The sequence below is a fragment of the Homo sapiens genome, chromosome 3, assembly GCF_000001405.40.
Source record: "Homo sapiens chromosome 3, GRCh38.p14 Primary Assembly".
NCBI lineage: Eukaryota > Metazoa > Chordata > Mammalia > Primates > Hominidae > Homo > Homo sapiens.
This window is the reverse complement of record NC_000003.12, coordinates 73809030-73827473: the sequence shown is the minus strand read 5'-3', so window position 1 is coordinate 73827473 and position 18444 is coordinate 73809030. Positions and strand designations below refer to the sequence as shown.

Below are 18444 nucleotides of genomic sequence, written 5' to 3'. Positions count from 1 at the left end.
AGCTTCCAATCAGGGCATACTTGAAGCCTGCCCTTGCTGCCTACTATAAAGTTTTCCCACTCTTCTGCCAACCTTTCAGCCTCTGCCAAATGCGAGTGACAGTGGCTGACTCCTATACTACAGCAAGCTTTGAATAGTCTGCTTGTCCTGATTTGGTCTCTGTTTATTTCCACAATATTTAAGTACAAAATCTTATTTCAGTTTTATCTTAATGAAATTTGGCCACATATTAAGCTTTGGCTATGTGGTATCATGCATAATGGCTGGTCTCACTGTGGGGTACCACAGAGGCTTAAGCTTAACCTTTGGCATCTCGAAGGCACCCAAAAGTGAAACACAGCTGAATAAGAAATATCAAGACCCCAGAGTACCTGCCGGGAAGGAATCAAATATTTAACAAGCTCTAAAAGTGAATGAGGACTTTGCCCTATTCTAACTAGGTTAACTCTAGGAGAAGATGACCTGGCTGATCTGTAAGGTAATTAGCAAATGTCACATTAAAATTAGTTACACAGTCTGATGAACCATTGAGTCCCACTAACATCATCATAAATAGTCAACTCTTTTTCTCTATTTTTATGTTACCAATAAATCCCAAATGTATTGGGAATTACCAAACTTTCTGCAACAATTTTTATTGGCTATTTTTCCCTAATCTCTATATAACATCATTTTAAAAATAATGGAAAGTTAGGCCAATCTATTATTTAATAAATAGAGTATTTGGGCCTATTAAGAAATGTTCAACTTTGTTCAAATGATTACCTCTATTTCTTTTATTTTAAGGCCAAAAGAACTAAGCTGTTTCAGAGGGTTAATTGGTATGAGCGAGGCGGGGAGACGGGAGACCAATCGTACCATCCCATGGAACTTGGAAGAGAATTACTCTTAAACTTTTTTTCAAAGTATATTTTGACAATAATATCCCCAGGCTATAGAGCTAAATTGCTTTGTTCATTTATGAGGATCTGTGTCTCCTCAGTGTCTTTAACTCCCACAGGGGAACAATAAAGCCAGAAATAGTGGTCATTATTAATCCCCACTACAGTGGGGAGTTCAAAATAAGGCCTGCTTGTCTTAGACAATAGTTTCATATATTAAGTTATTTTATATATGTATGTAAAGAGAGAACGAGATTTAAATTTGTTCCATCTGCAGCCTCTTGTGCCTACACAGGGAGCATCAGTGAGTGTAGGTGGCAGCTAACAGCACCTCCCTCTTATTCTTTAGGTCTCAAACTCTGCATGACCATCATTTCCTCCCAGAAGCTAATCTGCCTCCCCCCATCCTCCATCCCCTAACCCCACAAAGTTCTACCTCTCTTTGCCCCTTCCCCTACACATTACATTGTTTCACTTTGGCATTTGTTTAGTATGACTGTCTCTTTAACATTTGTTTCCCTAATAAAACTGTAAGCTCCATCATGGTAAAGACCTAGCACAGTTTTGCTCACTTTTCCACAGTGCCAGGTTCTTAGAAGGGACTCAAATATTTTTTGAGTGAATAAACATATTAGTGCCTGTGGGGTGTGGTTGGAGTGGTAGAAGACTGAGAGAAAGAAAACTAAACTTTTCTACTTCAAAAAGCAAGAACTGAGGAGTTAATACAAGCCAAACAGCAAGGAGGCCCTGGTGCCCAGGTAATGGATTAAAAAAATGGTGGGTGGGCAACATGGCAGTTGGCATGGGGGTGTAATGGAAGCCATGGTGTTAGTTGAAGCCACTTATATGAAATAAATAGCTAATGTTCAATTTGTTGGTTATTTGCTAGCTATGAATGATGGGAAGCCATTTCATATCATGGAAGGACCAGTAACATCCACTATCAACACAGTCTTGAGTGAGTAGAACCCAGTGAGAAAAAAGAACACAGAGACCCAAACAGAACGGAGAGGAAACCTTAGGAATAAACTTGGGACAAGTGTTCTTTCCTCACATCTCCAAATATACTAGAGAGAGGTGGCCAGGGTCGATGCCAAGGCAAGTATGGTACAGAGGTACCACTTGTTAAAGTACAAAATCACTTTCATACTGGCTAGTAGAATCACTGATGTTGACCTTTTTCTCAGGATTTCTTGGAGGACTTGAGCCCCTTCCTGACTCACAGGGTGGACTCACAGCAATTACAGGGTTAACACCTACCATAGAAGAGGGGGTCCAGGCCAGCTATCTATCTTTATTATTGCTCCAAGGGGCACCCATGAAGGGAAGACAGAGGCTAATATCTAGGTTTTACTCCAAAGCTGCCTCAGACCTCAGACCATAAAGAACAGAATACCAGTGAGTTTCGGTGGTATCTCCACAATGCTTTCACTTGTTCCACTTTTAGAAATATTGCCAATTGATCATCAATATGATTGTGCAAGTTATCCTCCCACCTACAGTGTATGAGTTTTTCTCCACATGCTCATTGTATGTCCATACAAAACAAAAATGAATGTCCATCACAGCTTGAAACATAAAGGCCCCAAACCACAAACAACCCAAACATCCATGCACAGATGAATGAATAAATGAGATACATGACCTATATAAGGATTACATGTTGGATTTGTATTATACTTTAATGATTATTCACATCCATCCTCGAGTATTTTAAGTTTATATCTAGAAGAAACTATCAAAACTTTTTCTAAAGTGGTAGTACTACTTTGTACTCTAATTATGTATGAGAATTCAAGTAACTCAAAATAATTACCAAATTTTGTAGTGTTAAACTTTAATTTTTGTCATTCGGGTGGACATGTAGACATATCTAATTGCAGTTTTAACTTGCATTTTTGATAATAAATTAGGATACTGATAACTTTTCCATGTTCTCCCCTTTCCTTGTTTCTGTAAGTTGGGTTATTTGTCTTCTTAACATTTAGTTGTAATTCTTTATATACATTGGACAAAAATCTTTTGCCAGATGTATTTTATATATGTAGTGTGTGTATACACACACACACATATACACACACACATGAAAAATAGAAAGCAAAAGAAATTAGAAAATCTTAAAGGCATCCAGAGAAAAAAGACTGTATTTTCAAAGGAGAAATAATAAGTCTAAGAGCTGAATTTTCAGCAGAAACTATAAAAATATGTATGTTACACACACACACACATATATGTAGTAACATATTTTATATATATATATTACTATATATACTCTATCTGAGTTTGGGGCTTCTCTTTTTATTTTGTCAGGGTGTCCTTTAAAGAGCAAAATTTTAAATGTTTTATTAAAGTTCCATTTATCATTTTGTTTTATAACTCTCAAATTTTGAGACTGATGTATTATTTGCATGGGGACTTTAATCTCAGAGACAGTTGCAAAATGTTTATACTGTCCTTATACTAAAGATATCAACTCACAGATTCTGTGAGCTCAATGATATCCATGTAGGATAAATAAGGAAAACCATGGCTGGATACACTATTTTCAAACTCTTGAAAAGCAAAAGAAAATGGAAAATCTTAAAAGCATCCAGAGAAAAAAGACTCACTATTTTAAAAGGAGAAGCAATAAGTCTGAGAGCTGAATTTTTAACAGAAACTATGAAATCTAGAAGAAAACAGAATGGTAGCTTCTAAGTACTGAAGGGAAAAAATCATGCTAGAATTCTGTCTCCAAGAAAAGTATCCTTCAGATATTGGTATAAAATTGAGACAAAAGCACTGAGAATTCATTACCAGCAGACTTCTATTTCCAGATATTATAAATGGAAGTTCTTTGGCTAAAGGAAATAATTCCAGATGGAAGCATGAAATGGTAGTGAGGAAGGAAGAGCAACATACAGATAAAAAATTAGAAAAAGAGTCAAAGAATATTTACTGTTATAATATTAATCCTACTAGTGTCTTGTGTAGATTATAAAGTCTGATAAAATAAGTGGCATTCATAACTCAGTGGGCAGAAGGAGGATAGAGTTAAGTTCTCTTAAATTTTTTGCTTCGTTTGGGAAGTGATAAAAGTACTAATCTAAGATAAACTGTCACAAATCAAGGATACACATTGAAATCCAGGGTAACCATAGAAAGGATTACAAACAAATGTACAATTCAAGGCCAATAGGAGAGAAAAAAAATAGAATAGTCCTTTCAAAAAAGAAAGCCAACAGAAATAGCAGAATCAAACTGTAAACAGACCACAGAGGTCACCATAGCTAATAAAATATTGTATTTCTTTCTGCCAAAGTATGTAGTCACAGTTCCTAATCCATTACCCACCTCATGGCCTGCATTCATCCCAGCCTGGTAGATGAGTATTTTTATGCTGAACATGAAAAAGAGCATTCCTCTTTTCCAGACACTCAGCTATAAACTTCATGGTCAGAGGCATCGATACTATGATAATCTTCTGGCCAAACTTTCCTCTCAGTATCCATTTTTAAGTGTTGATTATAGATGAAACAGGAAAGAGGAAAACAGAATAAAATAAACACACTGTATTAGTTAGGTCTCTTTTGTTTATGCTGCAATAACAACCCTGAAATCTTAGTGGTTCAAAAAAATAAAGGCTTATTTCTCGCTCGTGTAACATGACAATGGAAGTCAACATTAGCTCTCCTTCAAGTTGTCTTCATTTCTGATCCTAGCAGAAGGAGTAGCAAAAGGGTAAGAGAGATTACCGAACAAGGCCATAACTTAAAGTTTCTGCTCCAAAATGCACAGGTCACTTCTACTCACCTTTCATTGCAGAAGCAACTCCCATGGCCAAGACTGATATCCAAAATGTTAAGTATTGTTCTCCAGCAGGGTCAAGCCATATGGGGTGGTGTATTAGTTCGTTTTCACACTGCTATAAAGAACTACACAAGACTGGGTAATTTATAAAGGAAAGAGGTTTAAGTGATTCACACAGTTCCTTGTGGCTAGGGAGGCCTCAGGAAACTTACAATCATGGCAGAATGTGAGGGGGAAGCAAGGCATGTCTTACATGGTGGCAGGAGACAGAGAGAGTGAGGTGAAAAGTGCCACACTTTTAAACAATCAGATCTTGTGAGAACTCACTCACTATCATGAGAACAGCTTGGGGGAAACTGCCCTCATGATCCAATCACTTCCCACCAGGTCCCTCCCTCAATATGTGGGGATTACAATCTGAGATGAGATTTGGGTGAGGACACAGCGCCAAACCATATCATTCCACCACTGGCCCCTCCCAAATCTCATGTCCTTCTCGCATTCCAAAACACAGTCATGCCTTCCTAACCGTTCCTCAAAGTCTTAACTCATTCCATCATTAACCCAAAAGTCTAAGTCCAAAGTCTCATCTGTGACAAGGCAAGTCCCTTCTGCATATGATCCTGGAAAATAAAGAACCAGTTAGTTACTTCCAAGATAAGATGGGGGTACAGGCATTGGGTAAATGTTCCCATTCCAAATGGGAGAAATTTGCTAAAACAAAGGTGCTAAAGGCCCCATGCAAGTCCAAAACCCAGCAGGGCAGTCATTACATCTTAAAGCTTCAAAATGATCTCCTTTGACACCATATCTCACATCCAGGTCATGCTGATGCAAGAGGTGGGCTCCCAAGACCTTGGGCAAATCTGCCCCTGTGGCTCTGCAGCGTACAGCTCCCATGACTGCTTTCATGGGTTGGCTTTCATTGATTGCCTGTGGCTTTTCCAAGCACACGACACAAGCTGCCAGTGAATCTACCATTCCGGGGTCTAGAGGATGGTGGCCCTCTTCTCATAGCTCCACAAGGCAGTGCCCCAGTGGGGACTCTGTGTGGGTTCTCCAACCCCACACAGTTGGGAATCTCTGCATTGCCCTAGTAGAGGTTTTCCATGAGGGCTTTGCCCCTGCAGTAGACTTCTACCTGGACATCCAGGAATTTCCACACATTCTCTGAAATCTAGGCAGAGGCTCCCAAAGCTCAACTCTTGCCTTCTGCACACCCACAGGCCCAATACCACGTGAAAGCCTTGAAGGCTTGGGGCTTACACCCTCTGAAGCAATGGCTCAACAGCTACCTTGGCCCCTTTTAGCCATGGCTGGAACTAGAGCAGCTGGGACACAGGATGCCATGTCCTGAGGCTGCACAGAGCAGCAGGGCCCACAAAACCCTTTTCCCTCCTAGGCTTTAAGCCTGTGATAGGGAGAGCTCCCTTGAAAATCTCTGACATATCCTGGAGACATTTTCCCTGTTGTCTTGGCCATTAACATTTGTCTTCTCTTTACTTATGCAAATTTCTGCAGCTGGCTTGAATTTCTCCTCAGAAAATGGGAGAAATGGGTTTTTCTTTTCTACCACATGGTCAGGCTGCAAATTTTCCATACTTTTATGTTCTGTTTCCCTTTTAAACAGAAGTTCCCATTTCAGACCATCTTTTTGTAAACACATATGACTATATGCTTTTGGAAACAGAGAGGTCACAGATCAAATGCTTTGCTGCTTAGAAATTTCTTCTACCAGATACCCTGAATCATCTCTCTCAAGTTCAAAGTTCCACAGATCTCTAGGGATCTGTGGGGAAGAAGCAAAATGCCACCAGTCTTTTTGCTAAAGCATAGCAAGAGTGACCTTTACTACAGCTCCCAGTAAGTTCCTCATTTTGATCTGAGACCACCTCTGCCTGGATTTCATTGTCCATATCACTATCAGGATTTTGGTCAAAACTATTCAACAGGTCTCTAGGGAGTTCCAAACTTTCCCACATCCTCCTTTCTTCTTCTGAGCCCTCCAAAGCATTCTAACCTCTTCCTGTTATCCAAAGTTGCTTCCACATGTTCAGGTATCTTATAGAAGTGCCCCACATCTCTTGGTACCATTGTTGGTGGCCTGAGAGGAATGGGTCTGGAAGAGAGAAGCAGTGACTATTTTGAACAAATACTATGACCTACCACATATGCGATATTTCCTAACCATTATATTTTTGTTATGTCATCATTCAACTGTTATTTAGAAATTATTTCAGTTCATGTGAGATTGTGTGATTAAAATGCTTCTTCTCTAAGGCTGAGGCCAACATGACATTGTTTCCCATTGTCTTTTTTCCTTATAGATTCTTCTGCTCATTTCTAAACTTGATGTTTCTATATAACATGTATGTGTGTGTGTGTATATATATATACACGTGTGTGTGTGTATATATATATACACGTGTGTGTGTGTATATATACATGTGTGTATATATATATACAGGTGTATACATATATATAAAAAACTGTGTGTGTGTGTGTGTATATACATATATATGTGTATATATATGTATATATACACACAGACACAGTTTTTCATGTATATATTTTTTCCTAAGAGATATATTTGAACTAAATGTGTTTTATCAATCAATATCATTTTAAAGTACCCATTTTAGGCCAGGTGTGGTGGCTCACACCTGTAAACCCAACACTTTGAGAGGCAGAGGTGGTAGGATCACTTGAGAGCAGTAGTTTGAGACCAGTCTGGGCAACATAGTGAAATCTTGTTACTAAAAAAAAAAATAACTTAAATAAAATATCCATTTTATGTACCAATTCTACCCATGTAAACATGAAGCAGACATATTTTCTCATTTTCACAAGAGCTATTTATCATGACTGTTTATTTATTATGACTGTGTGAGAGCAGAGTTCTCACCTGAAATCATGTAACTTATTTTCTACATAGTTGATGAATAGAGTAGACAAAACATGGACTATATCATAAAGAAAAAATTTTATAGCTGATATTTACCAAAAGTGTTGGACACAGATGCATCTCTTTTAGTAATCAACAATCATGAGCTTAAAACTGACTTCCAGAGTCAAGACATCAATCACCTCTGTAATTCTCTGCCCCATGTTTCCCATAAAATTGCTACCCATGGCATCAGGAGCTAGCCAAAACAGAAGAGGAAGAAGGGACAAGCTGTATGAAAATAATAATAATGGTATCTTACACATACACCATGCTTTGTAGTTCACAAAGCAGTTACATGTGTATTTATTACCTCATTTCAACTTGAACACAACTTCGTTGTGAGCAAGACTGGTGGTGTTATCTTCATTTTATTCAAGAATGAAACAAAACTGAAATATTAAGTGACTTGTCCAAGGCCATCCAGCTTTTTAGATATAATATTACCATCCAGTAAAACTCATATGGCAGAAATGCCCTGTGCCCTGTCATTCCTTGGAGACAGCTCTAAAAAGGTCAAACGCCAGGCCTTGATAGGATGCCAATTCACTGATGGACATTACCAACTAATACTCCCCTTATCTAAAAATCCACATTATAGACAATTAAGCACTTCTATTTGCTTGACTGAGTTTTCCTTTCCCCTTAGTTCTTTTAAAATGACTTTGAACATCAGGATTTGCAAACCAGAGTTTTGTAGGACTAATACATGTTTAACGAGAGAAGTCAAGAATAATGTTTTAAAAAGATGTTTTTTTTACTTATCAGGCAGGTCAATATCAAAGAAAAGTCTCTTTGTGAACAATGACCTGGTGATTTTTCAAAAATGGAACAAGAAACTTTCATGTCACCATGAATTTAATACTGTCTCTTGTGTTTTCCTTTGCAATCTCTTTGATTGGATTATGTTCAAGGATACACGGGGCTCTTGTCTTTTGAGTGCATTTAAGAGTTCATTTTCCAGCTTTGACATTCAGCTCAGGAGTTTCAACAGCAATTAATCAGAACTATCCATATCAGAAACATTGTTAATCTTTACCAGACAGAAGTCGTTATGTTTGCAACTAAACTTCAATAGACTCTTTGGACATAGGATTTATTATTTTGCAAATGTTTTGAAAGGGAAGACATAGCTTTGAAGCAGAGTCGGAGAAACAGTTTTAAAGAGTTAGAACCAAAATCCAAGAGTCACTCAACCAGACCTGGAAGGAAACATTTGTTTCTGCTGCAGGTTATAAGAATAGTCACTTCAAGGTTGAACATCATCCAAGCGTGCATTAGGGTATATGGTTATTCATCCTCCAAATTTCAGTCCTCAACCCTTCTCTGCCCTCTCCCCTGCATGAGCTCATTTCTTCCTGATTTCAATTATCACCTCAGTGCCTCAGTGTAGATGATTCACAGATTCACTGGTTACCCAGCAGGTATTGAATTTTCACTGCAATAATACATGGCATCACAATAGTTTCCATTTGTTGAGTTCTCACTATTGTCAGATGCTGGGCTAACCCTCTCTGTGCACTGACAGGATTAAAGTAGGGTGGTTGGGATGGTGCATGGTCTGGAGGCCAACTGCCTGGGTTCAAATCCTAACACTGCCACTCGCAAATTTTCTTACTTTGGGAAAGGTATTCAGTTCTCTGGCTCTGCTTTCTTATCTCTAAAATGAATATGAAGAGTACCTACCCATAGGGTCTTGTTTGTTTTGTGCTTAGAATTAAATAAAAGATTCCACGTAAGATACCTTACTCATAGTAAATTTTCAAACATTGGTTATAATAATTGTTACTAATTATCACTCTTATTTTTTATACAATGACACAATATTCCTAAGATGAAGGCACTATTTTATCCAATTTAAAAATATGCCTGTCTTCTTAATCAGCATGATAAGGGCCTCTCTAAATTATGGCCCATGGGAATAACGCGTTGTTAGAAAAGATATCAGTCCTAGACTGCAATTTGCAAGAATATGCAAATAAGAGGATTGAGATAACCATAACAATCTCACAAAGTGCTATGAGAGCTCAAGATCCTAAATGTCTATCTGTAGCTTTGTTCCCCTAAGGTGCTCAGAGTCACAGAATGTCAGAGCTGAAAGCACAGTAAACACAAAAACATAGAACTGTAATCACAATAAAATGCTCCATTTAAAACAAATGGTATTCATCTCAGAGGGTCGAGGGATGTGATGAGAGTCACACAGTTAGCCACACAGGCAGAGCTGCAGACCCTGGCCTCTACTTACTATGTGGATGCCCCACCATCAACACTTTCCAACATGTCGAAATGTAAACGTATCATTAAACACATTCATTACCTATTTGCTACTGTTTGGAAAGTCCCATGTTTAGCAAAATGCTCTCTTTCTTACATACACCACATTGCAATTCACCAAAACTATCCACATTGGAAATATTTTTACAGAAGCAGCTATGTATGCAACTAAATTTTAATGGGGTTCATCATTTTGCCAATGCTTTGAAAAGTGAGGTGATATGGTTTTGCTGTGTCCCCACTCAAATCTCATCTTGAATTCCCACGTGTCATGGGAGGAACCTGGTGGGAAGTAGTTAAATTATGGGGGCAGGTCTTTCCTGTGCTGATCTCATGATAGTGAATGAGTCTCACAAGACCTGATGGTTTTAAAAATGGGAGTTGCCCTGCATAAGCTCTCTTGTCTGTCGCCACGTGAGATGTGCCTTTCACCTTCGCCAAGTGGAAATGTAAATCCAATGAACTTCTTTCTTTTGTAAATTGCCGAGTCTTGGGTATGTCTTTATCAGCGGCATGAAAACAGACTAATACAGGAGGCATGGCTTTGAAGCAAGGTGAGAGAAGTGCTGCTTTTTGAAGTGCTCAGTTAAAACAAAACACCAAATTGTTTGTTGAACTAGTCCTGGAATGAATCTTTTGTTACTGCTGCAAGATATGAGGAGCTCATCCCCTCATATCCTGTCCAGCAGGAAATTCTGTTGGCTGGTAACATGTCCAGAATCTGACTGCTTCTCACCTCTTCCAGTGCCACCACCCTGTTCCAAGCCATGAGCATCTCTTGCTTAGTGTACTGTGGGGCCTCCTACTTATAAAATCTGCCTTGACTTTTACACCTTAAAGTGTATACTTCACAAAGAATAGACTCCACAAAGTGATACTTTTAAAACAAAGTCAGATTATGTACTTGCCATATAGAAACCCCCAATGCCTTCCCATCAGACTCGGAGAAAAACTCAACTCCCTTCTGATGACCTAAGGTTCTACACTCTCTGCTCCCTACCCCTACCTTCCCTGACCTCATCTCCTACAGCTTGCCCCTCATTAATTCACTCTAGCTGCATGAACCCCCAACTACACACCCCCAGCCCCGCATTCCTTAAAACTTTAGAACCTTGCCCTAATTGTTCCTCTGCTTCTCCGACTGGAGCAATCTTCACTGAGATACCTGTGTGGCTCACTCTCTCACTTTCTTCAAGTCTTTGCTCAAGTCCCTCCTCAGTGAGACTTAGCTGGATCAGCATGTTCAATTATTGTATGGGGCCCGGAATGTGCACACATACACACCTGATTCCCATTAACTGCAGTTATGAATTTATATAGCATCTAAAGTAAACCAGGATGTGTTTTAGAGCTAAAGGGGATGCTGCTAATAGTTATGCTGGCACCACAGAAATAAACTAAGCCTGCCTTGGGCAAGCTGGGACATATATCCACCCACATATAGCATGCTCAATTTTTTTCCCTTGGCATTTATTGCCTTTTGACAAACTGTAATATTCACATATTTCTGATGTGTTTCAGTTATTGTCTGTCTCTCCCTCTTAAAGCATAAGCTCCAAGAGAGCAAGGACATCAGTTTCTTTCTTGATGTATTCTAAGTGTCTAAAATAGTGCCCAACAGCCCGGAACAGAGTAGATTCTCAATAATATTTTTCAAAGTAAATGAATAAATGATATAAGGAAGTCAAAGATTATCTCAAAAGTTCTTTCAAACTTTTAGCATCGGATGCATTTTTCAGTTCAATTCTATCAAAAATGGCGAAATGAACAAGATGAATATGCAAAACCAAAATTGGCATCAGAGCCATGAAATTCTAGATTCTTAATACTGGATCTGGAAGAGAAATGAATGGATGATCTGGCTCTATTTTCATTCCTTGAAGAAAGCAAATGTTTAAATCAGTATTCTCCAGTTATTTTCCTGCTGTCCATCTGTGTTAGTCCATTCTCACATTGCTAATAAAGACATACCTGAGACTGGGTAATTTATAAAGAAAAGAGATTTAATGGACTCACAGTTCCGCATGGCTGGGGAACCCTCACGATCATGGTGGAGGGCAAAGGAGGAACATAGGCACATCTTACATGGCAGCAAGCAAGAGAGCTTGTGCAGGGGGAACTCCTCTTTATAAAACCATCAGATCCCATGAGACTTATTCACAATCATAAGAACAGCACAGGAAAGACCCGCCTCCATTATTCAATTACCTGCCACTGGGTCCCTCCCATGACATGTGGGAATTATTGGAGCTACAATTCAACATGAGATTTGGGTAGGGACACAGCCAAACCATATCACCATCCTTGAATGTCTCTGACTTGCTCCTTTTCATGTTTAAAAAGCTCAGGTGGAAATTCTTTCCTAAAATTTCCCATTTTCTTCACTCCCTCAACCTAAGAAAAGTCATACTCACAAGACAATGTTACTGTTCTCTTATGATGTTATTTCTGTACCTCGTACATGTTCTACAAATGTATATGTCTCCTTACATACATTCTGCCCTGTCACTTTCCACAGTTTACTATTTATAACATCTTCCATGTCTTCCCTGTGCCTTCAGTGGACTCTAAGTTTCTTAGAAACAGGTGCTCTAACATTCAGTTTTGACTTCACAACAACTAGCACAGTACGTGGTACACAGTAAGCATCATACTTGTATTCATCAATCTGAATTGGACTTCATTTGATGACTATTAGATTGGATTCAATGGCAACTGCACTAACCAAACTACCCACTCAGACTTGGCTGTGTGACTGCTACATTCCAGTTTAACTCTTCAGACTTTACATCATTGTAATATCAAAGGCCCTTTCTAGCACAATATTTTCAATTACTTATCATTTCTTTCCCTACAACTGACCCCACCCCCAGCTATACACGATCTTTAAACACTTGTTGCCATATTAGAGAGGGCTACTGTTTTCCCTGTAATACTAAAAATAAGGAGTCTAAATTGGGTCCTTCTATTTATTAATGAATAAAACAATTATTAAAAATGAATTTGAAGCTATCAAATCTAATCTATCTTTACATGAAAACTCCTGCAGTTGTATTGTCAGTCATAATTTCCCACATGCGTAATGGAATACATACACACCCATGTATCTATCCCTAAAATATATGGAATAGATATTACCAAAACACATATTCTAATTCCTTAAGATTATTTTTTGACCCTCTAATATTTTGATGCCTGTTGGCCAAGTCCTTATTGACTGTGTTACTGAATAATTTGTCCATCTCTGCTCATATTCTCTGCTTCTGAGTGATTCATCATATTTCATCCTGAGATGCTTTTATCATATGTTTAGTACCACTCATCTCTGTTTCACCTTAATTATATTCAACGTCTACTGTATTCTTAGCTGGAAACCATCTCCTTTTCATCCCTCAAAGCCTACTTTAGATCTGACTCTCCCAACAATGAAATGCCCAGAAATACCTGAAATACAGCATATCATCTAGGCAAGACTATTCAGACTTGCCATTAGCTGTCAAGTTTCATGTATTTCGCCTTCTACAAATCCATCCCTGGAGCCTTCTGCCATGAAAGTATCCAATGTGAATAGGTGTTAATCTCCATCCTTTTAAAATCTCCCCCCATTTGCTCCATCAGAGAATATAAAATGTAGCATATTTTCCCCCAGACTTTCCCAGCATGTTTCCTTTGTTCAATCTAGAATCAAGCAATTTAAATGACAGGTACACTTGATTTAAAGTCTGCTAACTCCCCTCCCCACCAGTAATTCCAGATTCTATCTCCCTTAAATCATCATTCCAACGAGGAGTCGGGAGAAATAGACAAACATTACTGAAAATCACAAAGGCAAGTTTCTCACCAGGTTGTGTATATCATCAGATGATCTTGACAAAGTCCAAAAGCCACCAGGGGTATATTGGAAATAGTTGCAAGGGTCAAGCCCTCACAATTACCAGAAATTCAAGCTGCCTTATGTATGTGTGGAAAAGATGTGTAAACTACTGGCTCTCCAAAGCACCTTCAGGAAAACATCCTGTTCACTCAGATGATATCTGTATTTCAGCAAATGTCAGCAAGTCCACATACTTTGGCAGAACAAATGTTATTTTTCCTTTCATTACTGTCCTAAGAGGAACTGTGCAATCCTATAGATTATCGCATGGAGCTCTCATTGGCATGTGGCCAAGGCTGAATACTCTTCTCCAGAGGAGGCAAATTGTGAATTAAATTCACCGCTGGCAAATTGCTTTTTGTGTTCGATTTAATTTCGTTTTCATGATTTTTCCTGAGGGCTCTTCCGGCCTTGCTCAACTAACTGGTTTAACAGATCAGTTTAAGTTCAGAAAAACCTCAGTATTTCCAAGATTTCAGAATGCCTTTTTATTGAATTCCTGATTAGGACAAGTGAGAATAACAAATGTTTTACAGGTGTTCAATTCTCTAACACAGATATTGTTTAGAAGAAGGGGGAAAATCACAATAAATTACACTGGGCATAATTTTACTCAAATTTGGGAGCTGGGGAGACAGGGGGAGGAAGAGGAAGGAAGAGAATGAGTGAGCAGCTTTTCACTTAAAGTGAAAGTTACATTATCTGGACGGTAACTTCTTTAAAAGTACATTGTGGGGTGGGGGGAGGGGGGAGGGATAGCATTAGGAGATATACCTAATGCTAAATGACGAGTTAGTGGGTGCAGCACACCAGCATGGCACATGTATACATATGTAACTAACCTGCACATTGTGCACATGTACCCTAAAACTTAAAGTATAATAATAATTTTAAAAAAGTACGTTGAACAGTCCATGAGTAGCAATAATAAGACAACAAAGAAAATGAAGGATACATGTTCAAAAGAAGAGACGTGGAGCCGTGACTCAAAATGTACAGAAACTTCTTTTCCATTCACACGAACCAGGCAGAACAGTTAGCTGTGAATAAACTCAAGATACCAGACTGGCTCCATTAATGAAACATTATCACTGGAATAATATAGTTCATAGATTTTAATGATAAACTTGGGGGATGTGTTAATTGCCATTAGATTCAGGTGCATAGAACACATACATGGAAATAAAAATTGAAGTAGTTGAAATGAGGCAGAAATGTATATCTTCTTTACATCAAAGAATTCTGGACATAGATAGTCCAATATGGAGGGAATAATTCCCTACTCACCAAGGACCCAAACTCTCCCTATCTTTACACTCTACAATACTATTATGTGTCTTCAATTCTTAACGTTGCTTCATGTTCCAAAATGGCTGCTGAAGCTACAGCCTTTATGTCTGCTTTCCGGGCAGGAACAAGAGGGAAAAACAAAAGGCAAACACCTCTTAGCTGAGTCAGCATTATTTGTAGAACCTTCCTAAAAGAAACACCCTACTAGCTATATACATGGAGAGTGGAAAATGTAGTATTTTAGCTAGACATCCTAGCCAAAATATTGGTGGGAATTACATCCTAACCAAAATGTTGGTTCAGGAATATGGCTATTGATTAGGCAGCTTCAGTCTCTGTCACACGAGTAAAGTAATATTTTTATGAAACCAGAGAGGAGACACTTTGAAGTCTGTTGGCCTCTTTCGATCATTGTCCTTATCTTACATAAATAGTTGCTTAATGCAAATGCTTATTTGGTTCTTTTTATTTTATGGCAAAACCATCCTATGAACAAGTAAAATGTCATGCAAGAGGACACATTGCTGGCTTCTCACAAAATGGTAGTGCTACCCTCAACATGTCACCGGGAAGCCTCATCAGACCAAAACTACCCATAATATATTGCCTAAAGCATCCATCATAAAAGTTATTGCTTCTGCATCAAGATGATGTGCTTTTAGGAAATCTCACTTACAGTGAGTATGTGTTAACCGTTATGCCATTCAGTTCCATTAATCCATTTCTCTGTATTAGTTTATCAAATTAAATATCGTCATGGAAAATATAGAGCAGGGCTCTGAAGGAATAGAAACAAGTTAGGTACATTTCCAAGAGGTAGGCGGGAGAGAAGTTGAAGGCAGGGTGTGAAAATGAGGGTGAATTTGGGAGAATCCACCTAGCAAGGCAGAGTATGTAATAAGAATTTCATTTCTGATTAAATGAATGAATGAAATAAAAATACATGCACAGAATAACTTCTCAATAAACCTTTCTGGTTGACTATCAGATAAATGCATGAAGAGATAGATTAATGTATGAATAAATCCTCAAAGGTGAATTTTATCAGTGATGATTCTTTTATTTCTTCATGCCACTATCCTTGCTGTATGTGTGCTCCCTATAGCCATCATTGGGAGTTGTTGATTATGCTAAATATTAGAGTAACAAATACAAAAAGGACACTCAGAACCATAGATCACATCCCAAGCTAAGCGCTGAAGCACCAATGAGGCTGGCCAGAGAAGTAACCATTGGGTTATTACTATCAGCTTTAACATGTAATTATTTCATCCAGCACTGAAACAGAGAGGCACTCAAAATATAGACACTCAGCATAAGACTAACAGACAAAGACTTTCTATGCACTTAACTATGCACTATATCATAACTTTGAGTAGGACTTCCTTTTCTGGTTTGGAGGCTGTGTGGTATAATAGTTAAACACATCAGTTATGGTTTCAGGAAAATTTGAATTCAAATGCTGCATCTCCACTTGTTTCACAGCATTGAGCAAGTTACTTAACTGTTTCACATCTAAGTTCCCCCATCTTTAAAATGGAAGGAATGCTATTGCCTACCTTGTAAGTAATTGTGAGGAGTAAATGAGGACTCAATGATATCAGCCACGGTTATTAGTCATTATGTGCTGGGATCATGAGGGACTGTATAAGCCAGAGTTCTTCTGAGAAACAGAACCATTAGGAGACATATATGAGAGAGAGACTTAGTTCAAGGAATTAGTTTATGCAACTGTGGGGGCTAACCAGTCTACATCCGTAGGGCAAGCTAGCAGGCTGGAAATTCAGTTGTGTTGGTGTTGCAGTCTTGAGTCTGTAGGCTGGCAACTCGGGCAGGGTTTGTATGTTGCAGTCTTGAGTCAGAATTGCTGCTTTCTTGGGAAATCTCAGTCTTTGCTCTGAAAGCTTTCAACTGATTGAATGAGGCCCACCCACATTGTGGACACAAATATGCTCTACTTAAAGTCAACTGATTTAAATGTTAATCACATCTAAAATATTTTCATAGCAACATGTAGACTGGCATTTGATGAAACAACTAGGTGCCATACCCTCACCAAGTTGACACATAAAATTATCACAGGGACACAATAAATATGCCCATCCACACCCGCATTCTTCACAGAGAAACAAGACATAAGAGTTGCAGATTGGAAAGTGCAACTCTAACCTGTATGACAGATAAAGACTAGGATGGAAGCTGTGGTTTGTATTTGCAGGATTCAATGGCTTCAGATACTCCCACCCGCCACCCTCTGGCAGGTAGGTTAACACAACCAACCCAGGCAGTGGTGCCACATAAGACTTACAGCACGGAGAAGCTGGGAAGAACTCACATTTCTGCTGATGAGTTCATATCTGAGAGGACAAAAAGGAGGAGCTAGTTTTTCTTCTGAAATTTTCCAACCAGATAAGTCCCTCCTCCTTGCTAGGGTAGAGACAGTGATGCCACAGGTGAAGCCCCCACTGTTTCTGTCAATTGCACCCTTTCACAGAAAGGAACTATCATGAGCCAAGAAGAAACATTTCCCTCAATATCCTCCTCTCCTCACTACCGCCATTGTTTTTATCACCAGCAGACCGTACTGTTTATATTTCTTGTTGGGACCCTCTAAGTCTTAGCCTCTGAAATTGAAACTCTGGAGGGTTCTGAGGCTTCCAAAACCTAAGGAAATTTTCCAAGACATATCCAGAGAAGTACAATCCTATATTCAACCAACAGCATATTTCCTCTATCCTAGAAATCACCCTTCTTCCCCATCCCCCAAAAACTTCAGTTGAGAACCAGCTAGAGTTTACAGCACCAGGTTTAGTGTGGATCTCTTGACACCTCTGAAACAAGTTCCCCATCACATGGGAAAACTGCTCTGTCCTTCCACACCAGTCCTGGGAGCCTCTTCCAGCTTGATGCTGAAGAAGCCTGACATCCCCCAGGTAGGGGACAGCCGAGATCTCTTGGGCTCTGTTGGGGCCCGCTTAACTGTCCTTTTAAAGCACGCACCTTTCCCTCATCTGTAAAGAAGTCTGAGGGCAGAAACCAGATGTGCTGACCTCACCTCTCACCTCTCTCCCCCTGGCCTGGAATCCAGGGTTGTTCACTTCCTATTCACAAGAAGCAGCTTGCCTGGGCAAGACTGGTGTCATACTTCGTTTCAGTCAGCACAGGAGAGTGGAAAGTTGCCCGCAAAAGGCAGATGAAAAATTAAAGTGATCTTTGGCCAGCAGATTCGTTCAAAATGCAAATCCACTCGGTGCGTAGGAACAGTATGGCACAGCCCCCATGTGGGAGATTAGAATGCAGCCTTTCACCACAGCTCTTTATTCCAAAGCCGGCAGAAACTGGCTAGGCTTGGCGTTTATCTTTTTGCTCTAAAGCACGTTGGGGAAATT

General features: G+C 39.1%; 1 long non-coding RNA gene across 1 annotated transcript in view; it reads right to left on the bottom strand.

The window, feature by feature from the left end:
- The window catches only part of LINC02005 (long intergenic non-protein coding RNA 2005), a 70378-nt gene extending 52148 nt beyond the window's left edge, over positions 1-18230 (bottom strand). The window contains exons 1-2 of the long non-coding RNA NR_146637.1: positions 18118-18230; positions 17364-17412 (exon numbers count right to left, since the gene is read on the bottom strand). This is a non-coding gene — a long non-coding RNA (long intergenic non-protein coding RNA 2005). The remainder of the gene's footprint in view (positions 1-17363; positions 17413-18117) is intronic.
- Positions 18231-18444: the final 214 nt, after the last annotated feature.